The 18,190-nt window shown below is 33.7% G+C and overlaps 1 protein-coding gene across 1 annotated transcript in view; it reads left to right on the top strand.

Moving 5' to 3' along the window:
* MMP16 (matrix metallopeptidase 16) overlaps positions 1 to 18,190 on the top strand; it is a 295,473-nt gene that overhangs the window by 141,922 nt on the left and 135,361 nt on the right. The window contains exon 4 of the mRNA NM_005941.5: positions 17,589 to 17,893. Coding sequence (NP_005932.2) covers positions 17,589 to 17,893 — 305 coding nt within the window. The remainder of the gene's footprint in view (positions 1 to 17,588; positions 17,894 to 18,190) is intronic.

Genomic DNA, 18,190 nt, shown 5'->3' with positions numbered 1-18,190 from the left:
ACCCTTTGTGTATGATTAAAGATAAAATGAAAGCCTCAATATATTGGTTTTCTACTTATATAACTGGAACATGTCACTTGAACTTATTTTGGTTATTTTGGCGACGTTTTTTTTTCTTTCCATCACCCAGGTTGGAGTGCAGTGGCACGATCTCAGCTCACTGCAACTTCCACTTCCCAGAATCAAGCAATTCTCCTGCCTTAGCCTCCCAAGTAGCTGAGATTACAGGCATGCACCACCATGCCCAGCTAACTTTTGTATTTTTTGTAGACACAGGATTTCCCCGTGTTAGCCAGGCTGGTCTTGAAGTCCTGACCTCAAGTGATCTGCCCTCTTCAGCCTCCCAAAGTGCTAGGATTACAGGCATGACCTACCATGCCTGGCCTGGGAACACTTTTCTGTCTTCTTGTATATTTTTATGCTGTCTTCTCACACAGCATGATCCTAGATTATTGTCTTATGCTACTTACTTTAATTATTTCTGCAGATAAGAAAAATCAAAGATGAAGCAGCTTTAGGCCAAGCCCATGAAGTTGGTATTCACCATCATTTAAATTTGCTCACAAGATATTTTTACTTCACATATTTTTTTATCATCTCTACAATCTATATTTCCAAAACAGAGTTAAGAAAGTATTATACCAATAAGTTCATATGGAACATACAGTTATTTTCCCAATAACTGTAATATTTATGTCTCTTGTCTGGTGACCCTTTTTCTATAAGTGAAATTAGTGGTGACAGTGTTTTCTGAGAGGAAAACATGGATTCTTTTTTCTTTTCTTTTTTTTTTTTTTTTTTTTTTTTTTTTTTTTGAGACAGGGCCTCACTCTGTCGCTCAGGCCTGAGTGCAGTGGTGCGATCTTGGCTCACTACAAACTCTGCCTCCCAGGCTCAAGGGATCCTCCTGCCTTAGCCCGTTGAGTAGCTGGGATTATAGGTGTGCACGACCATGCCCAGCTAATTTTTGCTTTTTTTTTTTTTTTTTTTTTTTTTTTCAGAGAGAGAGTTTTACCATTTGCCCAGGCTGGTCTTGAACTCCTGGGCTCAAGTGATCCTCCTGCCTTGGCTTTCCAAAGCACAGAGATTACAGGAGTGAGCCACCACACCCAGCTCATGGATACACCTTGAAAAGCATTTGTAGATTTTGATGAAGAATGATAGATTATTTTTCTGGTCACATGGCAGAATAGAAAGCCTAAAATATACTGCCGATTAGGGCAAACCTTGGATGAGATATGTTAGATTTTTAAAACTAAAATATATCTTAAAAGCATTGTTGAGCTGAAACAAAAGAAAGAAACCTAAAAACCAAAAGTAGAGGAAAATTAGGAAATTTAGTAGGCATGTGAGCATGTAGGTCAAGTAGAGAGATGTTGAACTTCTGTCTTAGCAGTAATATAGAGTATTAAATAATAAACTGCATACTATTACCTTAATAGATACAGAAAAGTAGCCAAGGAAATTTACCATCCATTTTTGGTAAGTAGGAATCAAAGCAAAGAACTACATTTTGGGCCGGGCGCGGTGGCTTGCGCCTGTAATCCCAGCTCTCTGGGAGGCTGAGGTGGGCGGATCACTTGAGCTCCGGAGTTTGAGACCAGCCTGGCCAACATGGAGAAACCCTGTCTATACTAAAATAAAAAAAAATAAATAAATACTAAATAAATAAATAAAAATTAGCTCGGAGTTGTGGCGCATGACTGTAATCCCAGCTACTCGAGAGGCTGAGGCAGGAGAATAACTTGAACCCGGGAGGTGGAGGTTGCAGTGAGCCGAGATCGCGCCATTGCACTCCAGCCTGGATGACAAGAGTGAAACTCCATCTCAAAAAAAAAAAAAAAAAAAAGAAGGACATTTTGTTAAACAGAAAAATGGCATCTATGAAAATAAATACTACACTTTCGTTATATAGTTCACATATAAAAGGTTGGTAAAATCTTTAAGAGGCAACAGCAGTATCTGCTACCTCTCCTCTATTCAGCAACATTGCACAGCTACTAATAGAGGTAAAGAAAGAAAAGGAAGTAAAAGATGTAAGATTTGAAAAGAAACAAACTATCATTAGTCTCAGATTATATAAATTTCTATAGGGTAAACCCAGAAGAAATTCTGATGATTGTTTAGAAATAATTAACAAATATAGTCAGCCTAAAAACAGATTTTATTTTCAGAACAATTTTTTATTTACAGAAAAATTAAGCGGATAGTACAGAGAGTTCACAGAGTTACTGCATACCCTCTCCTCTATCCCTTATATACTCCACCAATACAAATGGTTTCTCCTATTATTAACATCTTGCATTAGCATAGTAGATTAGTTAAAATTGATGAGCCAGTACTAGTACATTATTACCACTTAAGTTGATAGTTTACACTGTGTTGTACGGTTCTATAGATTTTGATAAGTGTATAATGTCATTTATCTACCAATACAATATCATACAGAATAGTTTTCCTTCCCTAAAAATTCAGTGTTTCACCTATTTATCCCTTCTCTCCTCTTCCAAAAGCCCTGGCCAGCACTGGATTTTTTTTTTAATGTCTCCATCGTTTTGCCTTTTCTAGAATGTCATATAGTTGGAACTATAGAGAATGTAGCTTTTTTTCAGACTGGCTTCTTTCACTTGGCAATAGGCTCGTAAGGTTCCTTAACATTTTTCATAACTTGATAGCTCATTTTTTATTGCTGAACAATAATCCATTGTATAAATGTGCCATTGTATATTTATTCATTCACTTATTGAAGCCATCTTGGTTGATTCCAGTTTGGGGAAATTATGAAGAAGGCCAGTATACACATTTGTGTTCATGTTTTTGTGTAGGCATAAATTTTTAACTCATTTGGATAAATATCAAGGAGTGTCATTGCTGATCATATGATAAGACTACGGTTAGCTTTGTAAGAAACTGTCAAACTGTCTTCTGACATGGTTATGCCATTTTGCATTATTACCAGCAGTAAATGAGAGATACTGTAGACCTACAAGCCCCACCCCCAGCATATGGTGTTGTCAGTGTATTCAGTTGTAGTTATTCTAATAAGAGTTAGTGATATTTTTTGAGATAAAATAATTGAGATAAAACAATTATTGTAAATCAATTATGTTTATTAAGATAAGCAATTTTATTGATATAGATTGTTTTAATTTGCAATTCCCTGATGACATAAGATGCAACTTTTCATATGCTTATTTACCTACCATCTCTGTATCTTCTTTGGCGAGGTGTCTGTTGAGATCTATCAATTTTTAACTGACTTGCTTGTTTTAAGATTTTCTGTATATTGTGTATATTAGTCTTTCATCAGTTCTGTTTCCAAATACTTTCTTCATATCTGTGGCTTGTCTTTTTATTCTCTTTAAAATGTCTTTTTCAGAGCAGAAGTGTAATTTTAATAATGTCCAACTTAGCATTTTCTTTCCTTCTCGTATTGTGCTTTTGGCGTTGTATGTTAAAAATCATCATTAAACCCAAAGTCCCTAGATTTTCTCTTATGTTGTATTCTAGATGTTTAGTAGTTTTATGTTTTGCATTTGGGTCTCTGATTTCTTTTGAATAAATGTTTGAGAGTGTATAAAGTCTGTGTCTAGATTCACTTCTTTTACTTGTGAATGTCCAGTTGTTCTAACACCATTTGTTGAAAAGATCATTCTTTCTCCATTGTATTGCCTTTGCTCAGTTGACTCTATTTGTGGTGATCAATTTTTGGGCACTTTCCTTTGTTCCTTTGATATATGTATTTGTTATTAATCCAATATCACCCTATGTTGATTACTCTGATTTTATAGTAAGTCTTACTATCAGGTAGTTTCTGTTGTCTGATTGTGTTTATTTTCTTAAGTATTCTGCTGGGTATTTGGAGTCTCTTGCCTTTCAATATAAACATAATAGTTTGTTGATTCACACAAAATAACTTGCCATGAGTTTTGCTTGCATTGTATCTATAGTTCATCTTGGAAATAACATAAATATTATATATTAAATATATAAAATATAGTTCATCTAGGAAATGGATATCTTCCTATTTATTGAGATCTTTGAATTCTTTCATCAAAATTTTATACTTTTCCTCATATGCATATTTTGATAGATTTATTTCTAAGTATTTTACTTTTCTGGTGCTAATTTAAATGGTATTATGTTTTTCATATCAAATTTGAGTTGTTTATTGTTAGCAGATAGAAAAGCAATTGACTTTTATATATTAACCTTGTATCCTGCAACTTTACTATAATTGCTTATTAGTCTAGGAGATTTTTTGTTGTTATTGGTACTTTTCAAATAGAGGATATATCATCTGTAAACAAAGACAGTTGTATGTATTTTTTTCTTCCTAATCTGTCTCTTTTCTTTTCTTTTTATTGTTGCATTACATTAGCTAATGTTTCCAGGATGGTGTTGAGTAGGAGTGGTAAGAACGGAACTCATTGGCTTTTCTGATCTTAGGAAAAATACGAATAGTTCTTCAACATCAAGTGTGTTTTAAACTGTAGATTCTTTACTAGATGTTGTTCATCAAATAGAAGTCTCTCTCTATTCTTAGTTTGCTAAAAGTATATATTGTGAATGGGCGTTGGATTTTGACAAATGCTTTTTCTGCCTCTGCTGATATGATAATATGAATTTTCTTCTTTTGCCTTTTGATGTGAAATATTACATTAATAGATTTTCAAATCTTGAATCAGCCTTGCATATCTGGGATAATTCACAATTTGACATAATGTACAGTTCTTTGTATAGATTATTCTATTTGATTTGCTGACTTTTTTGAGGATTTTTACATCTGTGTTCATGAATGTTACTGATCCATAGTTTTTCTTTTTTTTGTATCTTTATCTGGTATTGATATCAAATAGAGGGATATTGGAAGTCTCCAATTATAATAGTGCCTCATGCATTTTTTTTTGCAGTTCTATCAATTTTAGTAACATGTTTTCTTGCTATATTGTTAGGCACTTGCACATTAAGTATTGTAATATCTTCTTGGAAAATTGAGACCTTTATCATTATGTAATGGCTCTTTATCCCCAATAATTTTCTTTTCTATGAAATCTGCTATATCTTAAATTAATATGGCTTAGTTTTTTTAATGTGCATAAAGATAATATATCTTTCTCCATACCTTCACTTTTAATTTATCTGTATCCTCATATTTGAGGCAGGTTTCTTGCAGGAAACATATAGCAGGACTTGCTTTCTGTTTTTGTTAAATTTTGTTGTTTTTTTTTACTCTGTGCTGTTTTTATTGGCATATTTAGTATTGACTTTTTTTTTTTTGAGACGGAGTTTCACTCTTGTTGCCCAGGCTGGAGTGAAATGGCGCAATCTCAGCTCGCTGCAACCTCTGCCTCCCAGGTTCAAGCGATTCTCCTGCCTCAGCCTCCCGAGTAGCTGGGATTACAGGCGTGTGCCACCATGCCAGGCTAATTTTGTATTTTTAGTAGAGATGGGATTTCTCCATGTTGGTCAGGCTGGTCTCGAACTCCCAACCTCAGGTGATCCGCCTGCCTCGGCCTCCCAAAGTGCTGGGATTGCACGTGTGAGCCACCGCGCCCACCTAGTATTCACATTTAAAGTGACTATTGATGCAGTTGTATTAATACCTACAACATATATAACTATTTGCTGTTGTTATTGGTTTTTTGTACTTGTTTTTGTCTTCCCCTCTTCCAGTGCCTTCTCTGGTTTTAGTTGACCATTTTATATGTTTTCATTTTCTCTTAGCCTGTCAATTGTCCTCCTTTTTACTGTTATTTTTAAGTGGTGACCTTGGGGCTTGCAATATACATGTGCAAGTAATCTAAGTCTACTTTCACATAACATTATACTACTTCACAGGTATTACAGATATAACAGAGTTTCTAATTTAATTCTTCTGTCCCTTAGAATATTCTCATTATTCATTTTATTTATCCATGTGCTATAATAACCCAATACATTATTTTTGTTATTATTTTGAAAAGTTATTGTTAGATCAATTAAAACTAGAATAGTAAAATACTTTATTTTACTTTCATTTATTCCTTCCCTAATGATCTTTCTTTTTTAAAGAGATATGCATTTCTGATCAGCATCATTTTTCTTCTTTCTGAAGAACTTCTCTTACTTTTTTTTTTTGCAAGGCAATTCTGTAGACAATAAGTGTTTTTAGTTTTTATTTGTCTAAGAAAGTCACTTTTCCACCTCACTTTTAAATGATGGTTTCACTGGATACAGATTTCTAGGTTGGTGGTTTTATTATTTAAACCTTGAATATTTCAAGCCCCTTTGTTTTTGCTTGCATGGTTCTTGAAGAGAGGTTTAATAGAATTGGTATCTTTGTTCATCTACAGATAAGGTATTTTACCCCCTTCTGGCTTTTTTCCAGAGTTTTCTTTTTGTCTTTTGTTTTCTGCTTTGAATATGATATGCTTAGGTATAGTTTTTTTTATATTTATACTGTTTCATGTTCTCAGAGTTTCCCAGATCTATGATTTGGTTTCTGCTATTAATTTTGGTACATCCTCAACCATTATTACTTATATTTCTTTCTCTCTTCTCCTAGTATTTTCATTGTGTGTATTTTCTCTCCAGTTCTTGGATATTCCGTTCTCTTTTTCATTCTCTTTTTTTCTGCTTCAATGCATTTACTAAAAACCCACAGCTAATATTACACTCTGTGAGATAGAGATTAGATACAATATATTGTCCTATCCCAGCTCTCTCTTTAATTCAAAGTGAAATATCCAATAACACCCAGAAATACAGAAAAAAGGAAAAGGCAACATATAAAAATAATAATTTACATGCGGTTATACTGCATAATAAACTTTACATGCTTACAAATTGGCACGAACTCTTTATTAGGTAAAAATAGAAAATAAACTTATTACATTAAAAAAAGAGAAATTTTTCCCACAAGAATAAAAGCTGTAATACATGAAATAGGTGAGGATATGCAGAACTTGCCACATAAGGTGAGTAAGAAAAATCTTAACAATAAACAGACACAATTTTCAGTGACCTATTAATCACATAAGAATTAAACAACTATATAAAAATTAAATCTATCTGACATTCATTTCAATTCTTTTTTCAATTTGGGATGTTTCTATTGACATATCTTACAGCATATTTCCTTTGCCATGTTTAATCTAATATCAGCTCATTAAAGGCATTCTTAATTTCTGTTTGGATTCTTCTCTAGAGCTGCCATCTTTCTGGTTATATTATCCATGTGTTTTCTTTATGTTGTCTACTTTTTTCATTAGACCCCTTAGCCTATTGATCAGTTATTATGAATTCTCATTCTGAAACTTCCAAAATGTTGGCCATATCTGAGTCTGGTTCTGTTGCTTGCTTTATCTCTTCAGCCTCTGTTTTCTCTTCCCTTTTGCAAAGCAAGCAACAGAATTGTTTGTAATTTTTTGTTGAAAGTGGGAAGATATTGAGTAATAGGAAATGAGGTAATAAGCCTTTGATGTGAGCTTTTATGTTTATCTAGTTAGGGGTTAGGTTGTATTTAATGTTGGCTGTAACTGAATTTCTTCTAGAGTTCTTTTTTTTTTCTTTGTCTCCTCCTGTCTTTAAATATCTCTAGAAATTCCTCTTTAAATACATACCATGTCTTTAAACTATCTCATATATATATATCTCATCTTTAAACTATCTCATATATATAATATAGTGGAGCCCTGTTGGTTTGCTGTAACATATTGTACAGAGGAAGCATCTGCAATCCTGTGATTAAGTCCTTTTGAGTGGGTCTGAGTATCTGAGCTGTGACCTTCTGACAAGTCTATTAGGCTTTTTGTTTTTCTTCGTTTATGTAATATACGAAGGCAAAAGGAGGTTGAGCTGTCTAATTATCTTTAAGCTAGATCAGATAATGCTTTGATAAAATAGTTTTCTTTTAACACTGGCGTTTATTATGGAGAATAGAATACTCATGGCATTATTTCAAAATTGTTGCTTTTTTTCCTCCCCATGCTGGAAGCAGGAGAGGATCTTTCTCAGATCTTCACTGTAAGAATTTGATGAGGGTCCTGGGGGTAAAACACGTAAAGTGTAGAGCTCTCTCCCCGCCCTCCACCCCTAAGGCTGGGACTTTGAGGGTTTTTCCTTCTCTTGGCTTCAGAGGCTTTTGCTCTTGATAAACCGTGAGTCTCTGTATTTGCCCCTCTCTCCACTTTTGGGGCAGAATTTTGCCCTATGACCTTACTTTTTTGATGGAATGAAGAAGAGTTATTTCAATTTATTCCGTTTTATTTCTTGTGAGGTTTGAAGTGATAACTTCCAAACATTTTATATATCGAAGCAGAGACTGCAAGACCATATCAGTCTTTTTAATAAAAAACCAACATACGAAATATATACACACATGTGCCCACATAAAAAGCAGTTCAAGTGTATAACCTTTACAAAGGCACCATTTAAAATAGACACAAAAATATAAGAGCTAAGAATAAATCCACAAAAGATGTATAAACCTTTTATGGAGAAAATTATGAATTTTTATTGAAGGACATAACAGAAGATGAACAAAAAATGAAGAGATATATTTTGCTTTCAGTAGAAAGACTTAATATAATGAAAGTTTGACTTTTCCACAAAATCGATGCAATTCCAACAAAAATCCCAGTAAGACTTTTTTTGTATAATTTAACACACTGAATCAAACATCTCTGAGGAACAGTGAAGGCCAAGGAGAACATCAAAATGTTCCCACCCACAAGATATGAAGACTTACTTTAAAACAATACTAATTAAGGCAGTTTTGGGTATTAGCACAAAGATAGATTAATAGGCCAGTAATACAGACAATAGATCATGGAAACAGATCCTTGTATATATAAAAAATTGATTTATGCCAAAGTAGACTTTATAGATCAATTGGAAAAGGATTCACTATCTCATCTACAAAATTATTCTGTGATAATTGATTATGTGTATGAGAAACAATGAGAGTGAGTTCATACCTACCCCTTACCATACAAAAACAATCAATAAGTAGTAATGGAACTAAAATGTATAATCAGCTACAGAGCTGTAAACGTTAGACAGCTCCATATATTGATACACTGTTTTCATTTTAGATACTGTCCTTTTTTGACCTGATTTCCAAACTGTTGGCAGTGTACCCTAATTAGTATCTCTGAATCCTTATTTACTCACTACACTTTTTCTTTAAATGAAAGAAAGGAAGGAAGAAAGGAAGGGAGGGAGGATTAAGAACTATTATATTCAGAACTGATTATAATTTCACTCATTCTGTGTTACTGTCCTGACAATGGCCTCAGCCAGTTTTAAGCATACAAGTAATTATGTTTGTGTCTATAAACTTTCAGGTCATTGATAAACACAGCATCAGTTAAGAGTCTGTTTTATAGCAGGAAAAACCTGGGTTTGAATGCTCTCTGTGTCACTTGTAACCTGTAAAACCTGCAAGTTACTTAGATCCACTAAATCTTAGTGTCCCGGTGTGCAAAGTGAATATTGTAACAATACTACCTGTGTTAGTCCATTTTCATACTGCTATAAAGAAATACTCATGACTGGGTAATTTATAAAGAAAAAACAGTTTAATGGACTCACAGTTCCACATGGCTAGGGAGGCCTCACAATCATGGCAGAAGGCAAAGGAGGAACAAAGGCACAACTTACATGGCAGCAGGCAAGAGAGCTTGTGCTCTTTATAAAATAACAATCCTTTATAAAACCATCTGATCTCGTGAGACATATTCACTATCACAAGAACAGCACAGGAAAACCTGACCCCATGATTCAATTACCTCCCACGGAGTCCCTCCCAGGACACATGGGGATTACGGGAACTACAATTCAAAATGAGATTTGGGTAGGGACATAGCCAAACCCTATCACTACCTCACAAAGCTTAGGGAAAATTAAGTAAGATAATGGAAAAAATAATGAAAGTAGCATAATGCTTGAAGTATGGTTAGTATTTAATATATGCCAATTATTATCTTTACTTCTTTTAATTTACCAGACAAATTGCAGAAATTGGTTGAGAGTGCGCTGACAAGACTATGGAGAGTTAGAAATGAGAGCTAAGTATATTGCACTTTAAAGTTAATGTATGTAAGGTGTTAAGAAATTGCCTAGTGTATCGAAAGCATTATACAATCATTTTCTATTCTTGTTTTTCTAACTGTATTTAGAGAAAATAAATTAATAAGTAAAATCTGACATTTAAGCTCAAAAAATAATTATTCCTGAAAAGGATAGCTGAACTGTACCCTGACAATATGCAGACAGGAATTGGGGTGAGAGTGGTGGAATCTAGGTTTTATTTGATAGCAAACTCATTATAAACCAACAGTATAATGTGACCCAGAAAAAGCTAAAATGACCGGATTACTTTGGTATACAAAGCAGTGGTGATGCTAATTTTTCTCTTTGGTTTTTTCGGCCAAGCCTTACCCAATATACACTTTTCTCTTCTGGCCATCACCTTTTTGGCTGCTTCCTGGACAATTAATGTCCTCCTCTCAAAAAGCAGTCAAGGCCAGGCACAGTGGCTCACACCTGTAATCCTAGCACTTTGGGAGACCAAGGTGGACATATCACTTGAGGTCAGGAGTTCGAGACCAGCCTGACCAACATGGTGAAACCCCATCTCTACTAAAAATACAAAAATTAGCTGGGCGTGGTGGCGCGTGCGTTTTATCCCTGCAACTCAGTAGGCTAGGCAGGAGAATTGCTTGAACCCGGAAGGCAGAGGTTGCAGTGAGCCGAGATTGTGCCACTGCACGCCAGCCTGGACAAGAGACTGAGACTCCATCTCAAAAAAAAAAAAAAAGCAGTCAAAATGTAAGGGAGCTGGAAAGCAGTCTGCATGTGGAACAACTCAAGATTAAAGCTAAGCATTCTCAGCATCATGGCAAGTGTATTTAAGGGGGAAATTTCCAGTTATTCTCAAATTGTTAAAGGCTTTCAGAAAAATCTAATGTTTTAAATGATTGGAAAATTAAATTATACATCATATGAGTTATCTTCATTTTTGGAAGTATTTAAACCAAAAATGTATTCACTTAGGTTAAATTAGAGACTATGTACGCATTTATGTAATGGTTGGAAAGTTGGTTGTTGAATAAATTCATTAATTCCAAACAGGCTTTGGTTAAACTTTTTTTCATGACAGTGATAGAAGCTTATTGAGTAATATAACTTTTATCAAATAGATCTGTATTTCCCAATTGTTGAATATTAATAAAATGGACTTACAGTAAGTTCTTTTTCTCTTCGAAATCTAAGTTCCAAAATGTTATTTTGTGTGACAAATGGCCAATGGGACAGATACCTAAATTGCCAGATGAATATGAGTATTTATGATATATTAGTTAATATAATAGTGCTATATTGATTAGTTTCTATTTTTCCAGTATATTAATCCTTTAGCTCCGCTTGTTTTTAAATGAATGACTCCGTTACAACTGAGGACACACTGGAAGTTATTTTACTTTAATAGTGTATACAGAGAAAAGAGGTTACTAAGTAATTTTTTTTAAATGCCTACACAGAAACATTTTTCATTATTCTCTCTAAACCCAAAGACTTCATTGAACTTGATGATCCTGTTGAGTTCAAAGAGAACTCAACTTGTGTTTCCAGAGAATACATAACAGACTGAAAAAGCAGAACCCACTTAAACAACACCCAATGTAATATGTACTTAATTAAGTCTGCCCTGCCTAGAAAGCCAGCATCTTGGGAAATAGCCAAATATTTAATGTAAGGAAGGTTTCCTGGAGGGACTCCATATTCACTTTCTATTTTGTCACCATTTCTCATACTTAAGAAAAAAGTTGTGAAGCTCCATTAATTAGACAAGCATAATATGAATAAAAGTAAATTGGTCTATTTTATTTTCTTTGGATAGAATATTACAGCACATTCAGGAATGTTAATAATTTAACTATATTATGTTTATCTTCTTTTATTCTTAGCAATTGTCTGCTTTCCCTTTTGTAGTAAATTCTATTTAACCGATAATCATTTTACATAAAACATTAGTATGCCTTTCTAAATAACTAATTTTTATCTATTTAATTGAGTAAAGGAGATTTAGCCCTGTTTATATAAAAATATTTTGACATAATATTATGAGATATTTGTAACCTGATTAGATGCCACAGTATTTAGAGTTTTTTTTCTAATATTAGGGTTCAAACAATACTTTAAAAAGGTATCAAATACTTTAAAGAGAGCCGGGACCGGTGGCTCACAACTGTAATCCCAGCACTTTGGGAGGCCAAGGTGAGTGAATCGCTTGAGCCTAGGAATTCAAGACCATCCTGGGCAACATGGCAAAACCCTGTCTCTACAAAAGGTATAAAAATTAGCCAGGCGTGGTGGTGCACAACTGTAGTCCCAGCTACTCGGGAGGCTGAGGCAGGAAGATTACCTTAAGCCCAGGGAGATAGGGGATGCAGTGAGCTGTGATCTTGCCACTGCACTCCAGCCTGGGTGATAGAATGAGACCCTGTCTTAACCACAACAACAACAAAAACCTTTAAAGAGTTATAACCATTACTAATATGTAAAATTGTTATTAGATGAAATTGTTTTGATCTAATGATAAGACATCAATTTTATTTCCAAATCTAAATCCTGTTTCACATTTATTTTTATTATATTATTTTGCTTCTCTTTTCTCAACTCTTTTGTACTTATAAAGACATTGGTTTTGTTATGTAAGATTGTGTAAGGCATGGTCATTAAAGATAAAATTTAACAATTTTTAGATTAAAATTCCAAAATTTACCAAAATGGAAGTTTGAAAGAATCAGTGAAATAATATGATGAAATGCCAGATATACTTCAAAAAATGAAATCTATCATCTGTTAAAATAAGAAGTATACTCACTTTACTCTTTTCACAAAAAGAAAGGGCCAGTAAAAATATTTTAAAATTAAATTAGCTTCATTAAGTTTTTCAGACTTTTACTCATTTTAAGTCAGTGTCTTTTATTCTGCAAATATATTTAATCATTTCTGCATTTTTATTAGAATTGTTAGTAGCAATCTTATTACCTCATGATCACTCTGTGACCTTTGTTAGTTCAGTTATGAATAAATACAAAATACATCTCTCTTCAGTTCAGTTATAAATACAAAATACATGGCATAAAAGTTTCTAAACTCTTGTTTTTGTTTGCACCTAGTTCAGAACTCTAGCTCTAACTTTGAAGCATACTTGTATATCTTGTATTTATTTATTTTTTTACTACATAAAATGTGTTGTCAGAGATCATTAAATTACCACTACATTGTATGTGTTATAAAAAGTTAGTAATTTTAATCATCTAAATTGGAAATTTTAACTACAATTTTTTCTGAACTTTCATAAAAAAAATGAGGGGTTACTACTTTTACATTATTTATACTGCTAATTCAACATTACCAAATCATTGAGAACACAATTAAAAATGCATCATATGGCCGGGCACGGTGGCACACGCCTGTAATCCCAGCACTTTGGAGGCCAAGGCGACCTGAGGTCAGGAGTTCGAGACCAGCCTGGCCAACATGGTGAAACCTCATCTCTACCAAAAATACAAAAATTCACTGGCTGTACTGGTGGGTGCCTGTAATCTCAGCTACTCGGGAGGCTGAGGCAGGATAATTGCTGGAACCCAGGAGGTGGAGGTTTCAGTGAGATGTGATGGTGCCACTGCACTCCAGCCTAGGTGACAGAATGAGACTCCGTCTCAAAAAAAAAAAAAATGCATCATATCATTGAAATTCATCATATATATTTAAATAAGAGCAATAAGTATTTTTTCTTCCTAAAGTAATGTTGTTGAATTTTCCATCTTTGTTTAATTCGAGTAAGACCACTGAGTGCTTATTTCCATTTTGAACAGTCCTTTTAACTTTACATAGCAAAACCTATTAAAAATGAAATAATATCTATAATTATGTTTTTTCCTATTTTTTAATTTAGAATTTTATATTTTGTTTAACCAGCTATCTTTATTCTATCCAAAATCCACAATTAAGTGGGCCTCCAGAAGATAAATAAAGCAGTGTCAGTTTCTATTTATTCTGATTTATTATTGAAAATACACCTTCCTTTCAGCTCACGTTTTTCAACCTTAATGATCCTTTTTATCTCCACCCTTCATATGTGAAACTGGGCACTGACTTCCCAGATTCAACCTAGGCCCAGTGTCATCAGCATCCATAACCTTTTACTCTCTTTTTTGTAATCTTTCATTTTATGTTCAGGGGTGCATGTGCAGGTTTGTTATGGAGGTAAACTCGTGTGATGAGGGTTTGGTGTACAGGTATCTTGTATTTACTAATGGTAATCATATATAATGTAGTTAAGCATATCTGGAAGCTAATCAGTACATAGCTTTGAAAAACACAGCGATGTGTTGTCAAATCCAAATAGTACTCCACATTCATTATTTTTATTATATTATTTTGCTTCATTTTTCTCAAAACTATTATGTACTTAGAAACAAATCATACTACCATGATTTCATTTCTCTATTATAAGATTATTCTTTATTTGAAATCAAAATCAATTTCTCCATTACATATCAAATCCATCACCAATCCCCATGAACAATTCTCTCAGAACACATACTGAAACTAATTCTTCATATCTCCATGGCTATCACACAAGTCCTAGTCTCTATCTTCTCTTATGTGAACTTCTGAAATGTTTTATTACTCCCATTTTTGTCCCATCATCCATTTTTCCATCAGACACAGTGATTGTGATTGCTCCAACTCACTGAGCAGTCTGGTTCTTTGAACTGGCCATGTTTGTTTGGCGTTCTCACCATTCCCTCTGGCTGGAAACTCAGTGCTAGGCATCTTTGGCTCCTTCTGCCATTGAACTCCTGTTTATCATCTCCTCACCCCCTCACCATCTGAAATTATCTTTTTTTTCTGTTTATTATTTATCTCATAACTAGAATATATAAGCACTGTGGGAGCAGAGTCTTGCCCACAGCTGTATCTCTGGCACCTGGAACAGTGCCAATTATGTAGTAAGTTCTTTCAATGATGTGTCATAGGAATATCAGCCCGCTAATGAGGGAGTTCTGAAATCCCATAGGGTGCATAGAAAATAAAAGACTATTAGGAAAATTAATTTAGACGAAATTCAGTGTTACATTACCTCTCATGCTTCTTTAGCCATTAGACAAGAAATTTAGAGACTAGCAAGGTAGACAAATGTCTGTGCTATCTCAGTGTAGATGTTTATTCTTCCTCAAAATATAGTTTATAGCACCATGCTGAGTATCACATAAAGTTAAAACAAACTAACAAAACAATAGCAACAAAATATTGCATAGCCTTCTCCCTGAGCAGGCATGAATTCTTTTGCTCTGTCCATCCTTTGGCTCAGGTCAAAAAAATAAATGCTGTCTTCCTCAGCTCTTACTTTTTTCCTCATAGCCTATGTCTAATCCATTGGTATATCTTGGGAGACATATTCTCAAAATATATCCAAAATACAACCACTTCTCAAAATCTCTACTGGTACCAACCTGGTCCAAAGCACCATCATCTCTCACCTGGATTTTTGCAATAGTTTCTGATGTGTCTTCCTGCCTCAAATCTTGCCCTACGTCAATATATTTTCAACATAATGTCTCAAGACATTTATTAAATCATAAGTCAAATGTCATGTCTCTGTTCATGACGCTCCAGTTTTTCATTTCTCAGAGCAAAAGCCAAACTCTATTTAGAGTGGCCTTCGGGGACCTACCTTATTTGGTCTCCTTCTAACTTTCTGATCTCATATCCTGACACTTGCTCTCTCTCTGTGACCAAACTACACCAGCTGCCTTGCTGTTCTTTGAACCTGCCAAGAATATCTTCACTTCAATGCCTTTCACTTGCCATTTCTTCTTCCTTGCCTGCACTCTGTTTCCACTTGGTTTGCTATCTTATTTCTTTTATGTAATGAATAATATTTACCACCAAATAATCAATGTAAATATAATCTAGATATTTATTAGAAAATAGTGAAAAATTTATCTTAGATATGTGGTCTAACACAGAATTTAAGGCAAAAGAGTTTTAGCCCAAATGTTTGGATTGAAAACCCAGCTCTGCCACTTAGAGGTTTTTCTCTAAAATTCTTATAAATCTCCACTGTGCTTTTGGTAAAATAGGTATAAATACCCATCTCATTGAGTTACTCAGAAGGTTAAATAAGATAATGTGAAGTGCTCATCTAGCTCATAGTAAATGCTCAATTAATACTATTATTAGTTTATATAATTCCTGCCCAATGTTTATAATTGTATTGACAGAGAATCAGGTTAAAAATATAATATGCATATTATTTTTTTCCACTGGAAAGTTAATCCTACAAGTTTTTCCATGCTGATAAAAAGTCTTAAAAGGGCAAAATAATTTTGAATCCTATTTATACAATGACATGCATTAGAGATGCCATAATTTAACCATCACTTCATCATTTTAAATTGTTTCAGTTTCAGTTCTCTTTTATGATTGCATTTCAATATATATTCACCTGAATATGGTATCCTCTTTTTTGTAATTAAATATTTTATTTATCAGCTGGGCATGGTTATTACTTCCTAAATCCCATCTCCTTGAAAGGCAAAGGTGGGAGGATTGCTTGAGTGCCAGAGTTCAAGGCCAGTCAGGGCAACACAATCAGATCCATCTCTAAAAAAGAAAAAAAAAATCAAAAATATTTCATTAGTGTAAGTTCATAGATATGACATTATTGGTTGAAGGGATCTGAAACTTATTTATGACTCCTATGAAATTTACCCATTTTTTTCACATGCATGCTTTGAATTTATAGTGCTATAATATAAAAAAATACAAATACTAGTTCCATTTTTGTTGTTTAGAAAAAAGCTGAGAAAAAAATAAACATCTGATTTAGTGCCAAATGAATCAAGTACAATATTTATAGTGATTTAATGTGTTTGTTATTAGCATCAGGACAAACTAAAGTACATAATGTCCAAGTTACTAAATTGACGTAATTGTGAAAACTTTGTATTAAATAGCTGTTTACTCACAATACATTTTTAACTAGAATGAATTAATAAGAAACAATAGAACATCAGAAATTGTAGTTCTTTGATCATTTCGTTACAAATTAAGAAATAACTATATATCTGCTGAATTCATATTTACAGATCAAGAAGAGCATAAAGACATTGTTTGAAATGGATGTGTGCAAATACAATGGTGTGCCTCTAAAAATTATAACTAGAAAAAATTGAAATTTTTATTTCAGCTCCAAACTGTTTTGCCTCTTTGGTCATGTGGCAAATCTGCCTTTCTCTTTCTTATTCAGAAGGTAAAGTAACTGATTGATCCAATTGCCCTACTGTTAACCATTCTACAGAGATCTTCTCATTTAAAACTTTGGTACATGAATACTATCCTGAAGAAAATTAAATGATTGCAGTGTAGTGAAATCTAACAGTAGAGACAAGAGGAATGAATACGTGTTATTCCTATTTAATATGACTATTTTCTCTAATATTTTACTTAACTGAATCGATCAAAACCTGTACTAAGTTAGCTTATACATAACAATACTGATGATTATATTTTCTAACTTTCAGTATAAAGAACGTAACTCCAAAAGTAGGAGACCCTGAGACTCGTAAAGCTATTCGCCGTGCCTTTGATGTGTGGCAGAATGTAACTCCTCTGACATTTGAAGAAGTTCCCTACAGTGAATTAGAAAATGGCAAACGTGATGTGGATATAACCATTATTTTTGCATCTGGTTTCCATGGGGACAGCTCTCCCTTTGATGGAGAGGGAGGATTTTTGGCACATGCCTACTTCCCTGGACCAGGAATTGGAGGAGATACCCATTTTGACTCAGATGAGCCATGGACACTAGGAAATCCTAATCATGATGGTAAGTACATGTTTGTTTTACAGTGTAAATATTTCTATTATTATTTCAGAATAACCAAGAGATTTAACAATTTACAAACTTAAGGTATAGATCCTAAATTTACTTTTAAAATTCCAAAGCAATATGTAAGCATATTTTATAGCATTTTAGGATAAGAATTTGTGTGGGTCATTAGATAATATAGTTATATATGTGTTCCTTTGATTAAAGATTAGAACCTTATACTGTATCTATAAATACTCTAAAGTAAGTTTTGTCTTCTTCACAATGTGATTCCTTAAAAGATTTTATAATCAG

This window comes from Homo sapiens, chromosome 8 (assembly GCF_000001405.40).
Source record: "Homo sapiens chromosome 8, GRCh38.p14 Primary Assembly".
NCBI lineage: Eukaryota > Metazoa > Chordata > Mammalia > Primates > Hominidae > Homo > Homo sapiens.
Note: the sequence above shows the minus strand (reverse complement) of the source record. Positions and strands in the feature narration are given on the sequence as shown.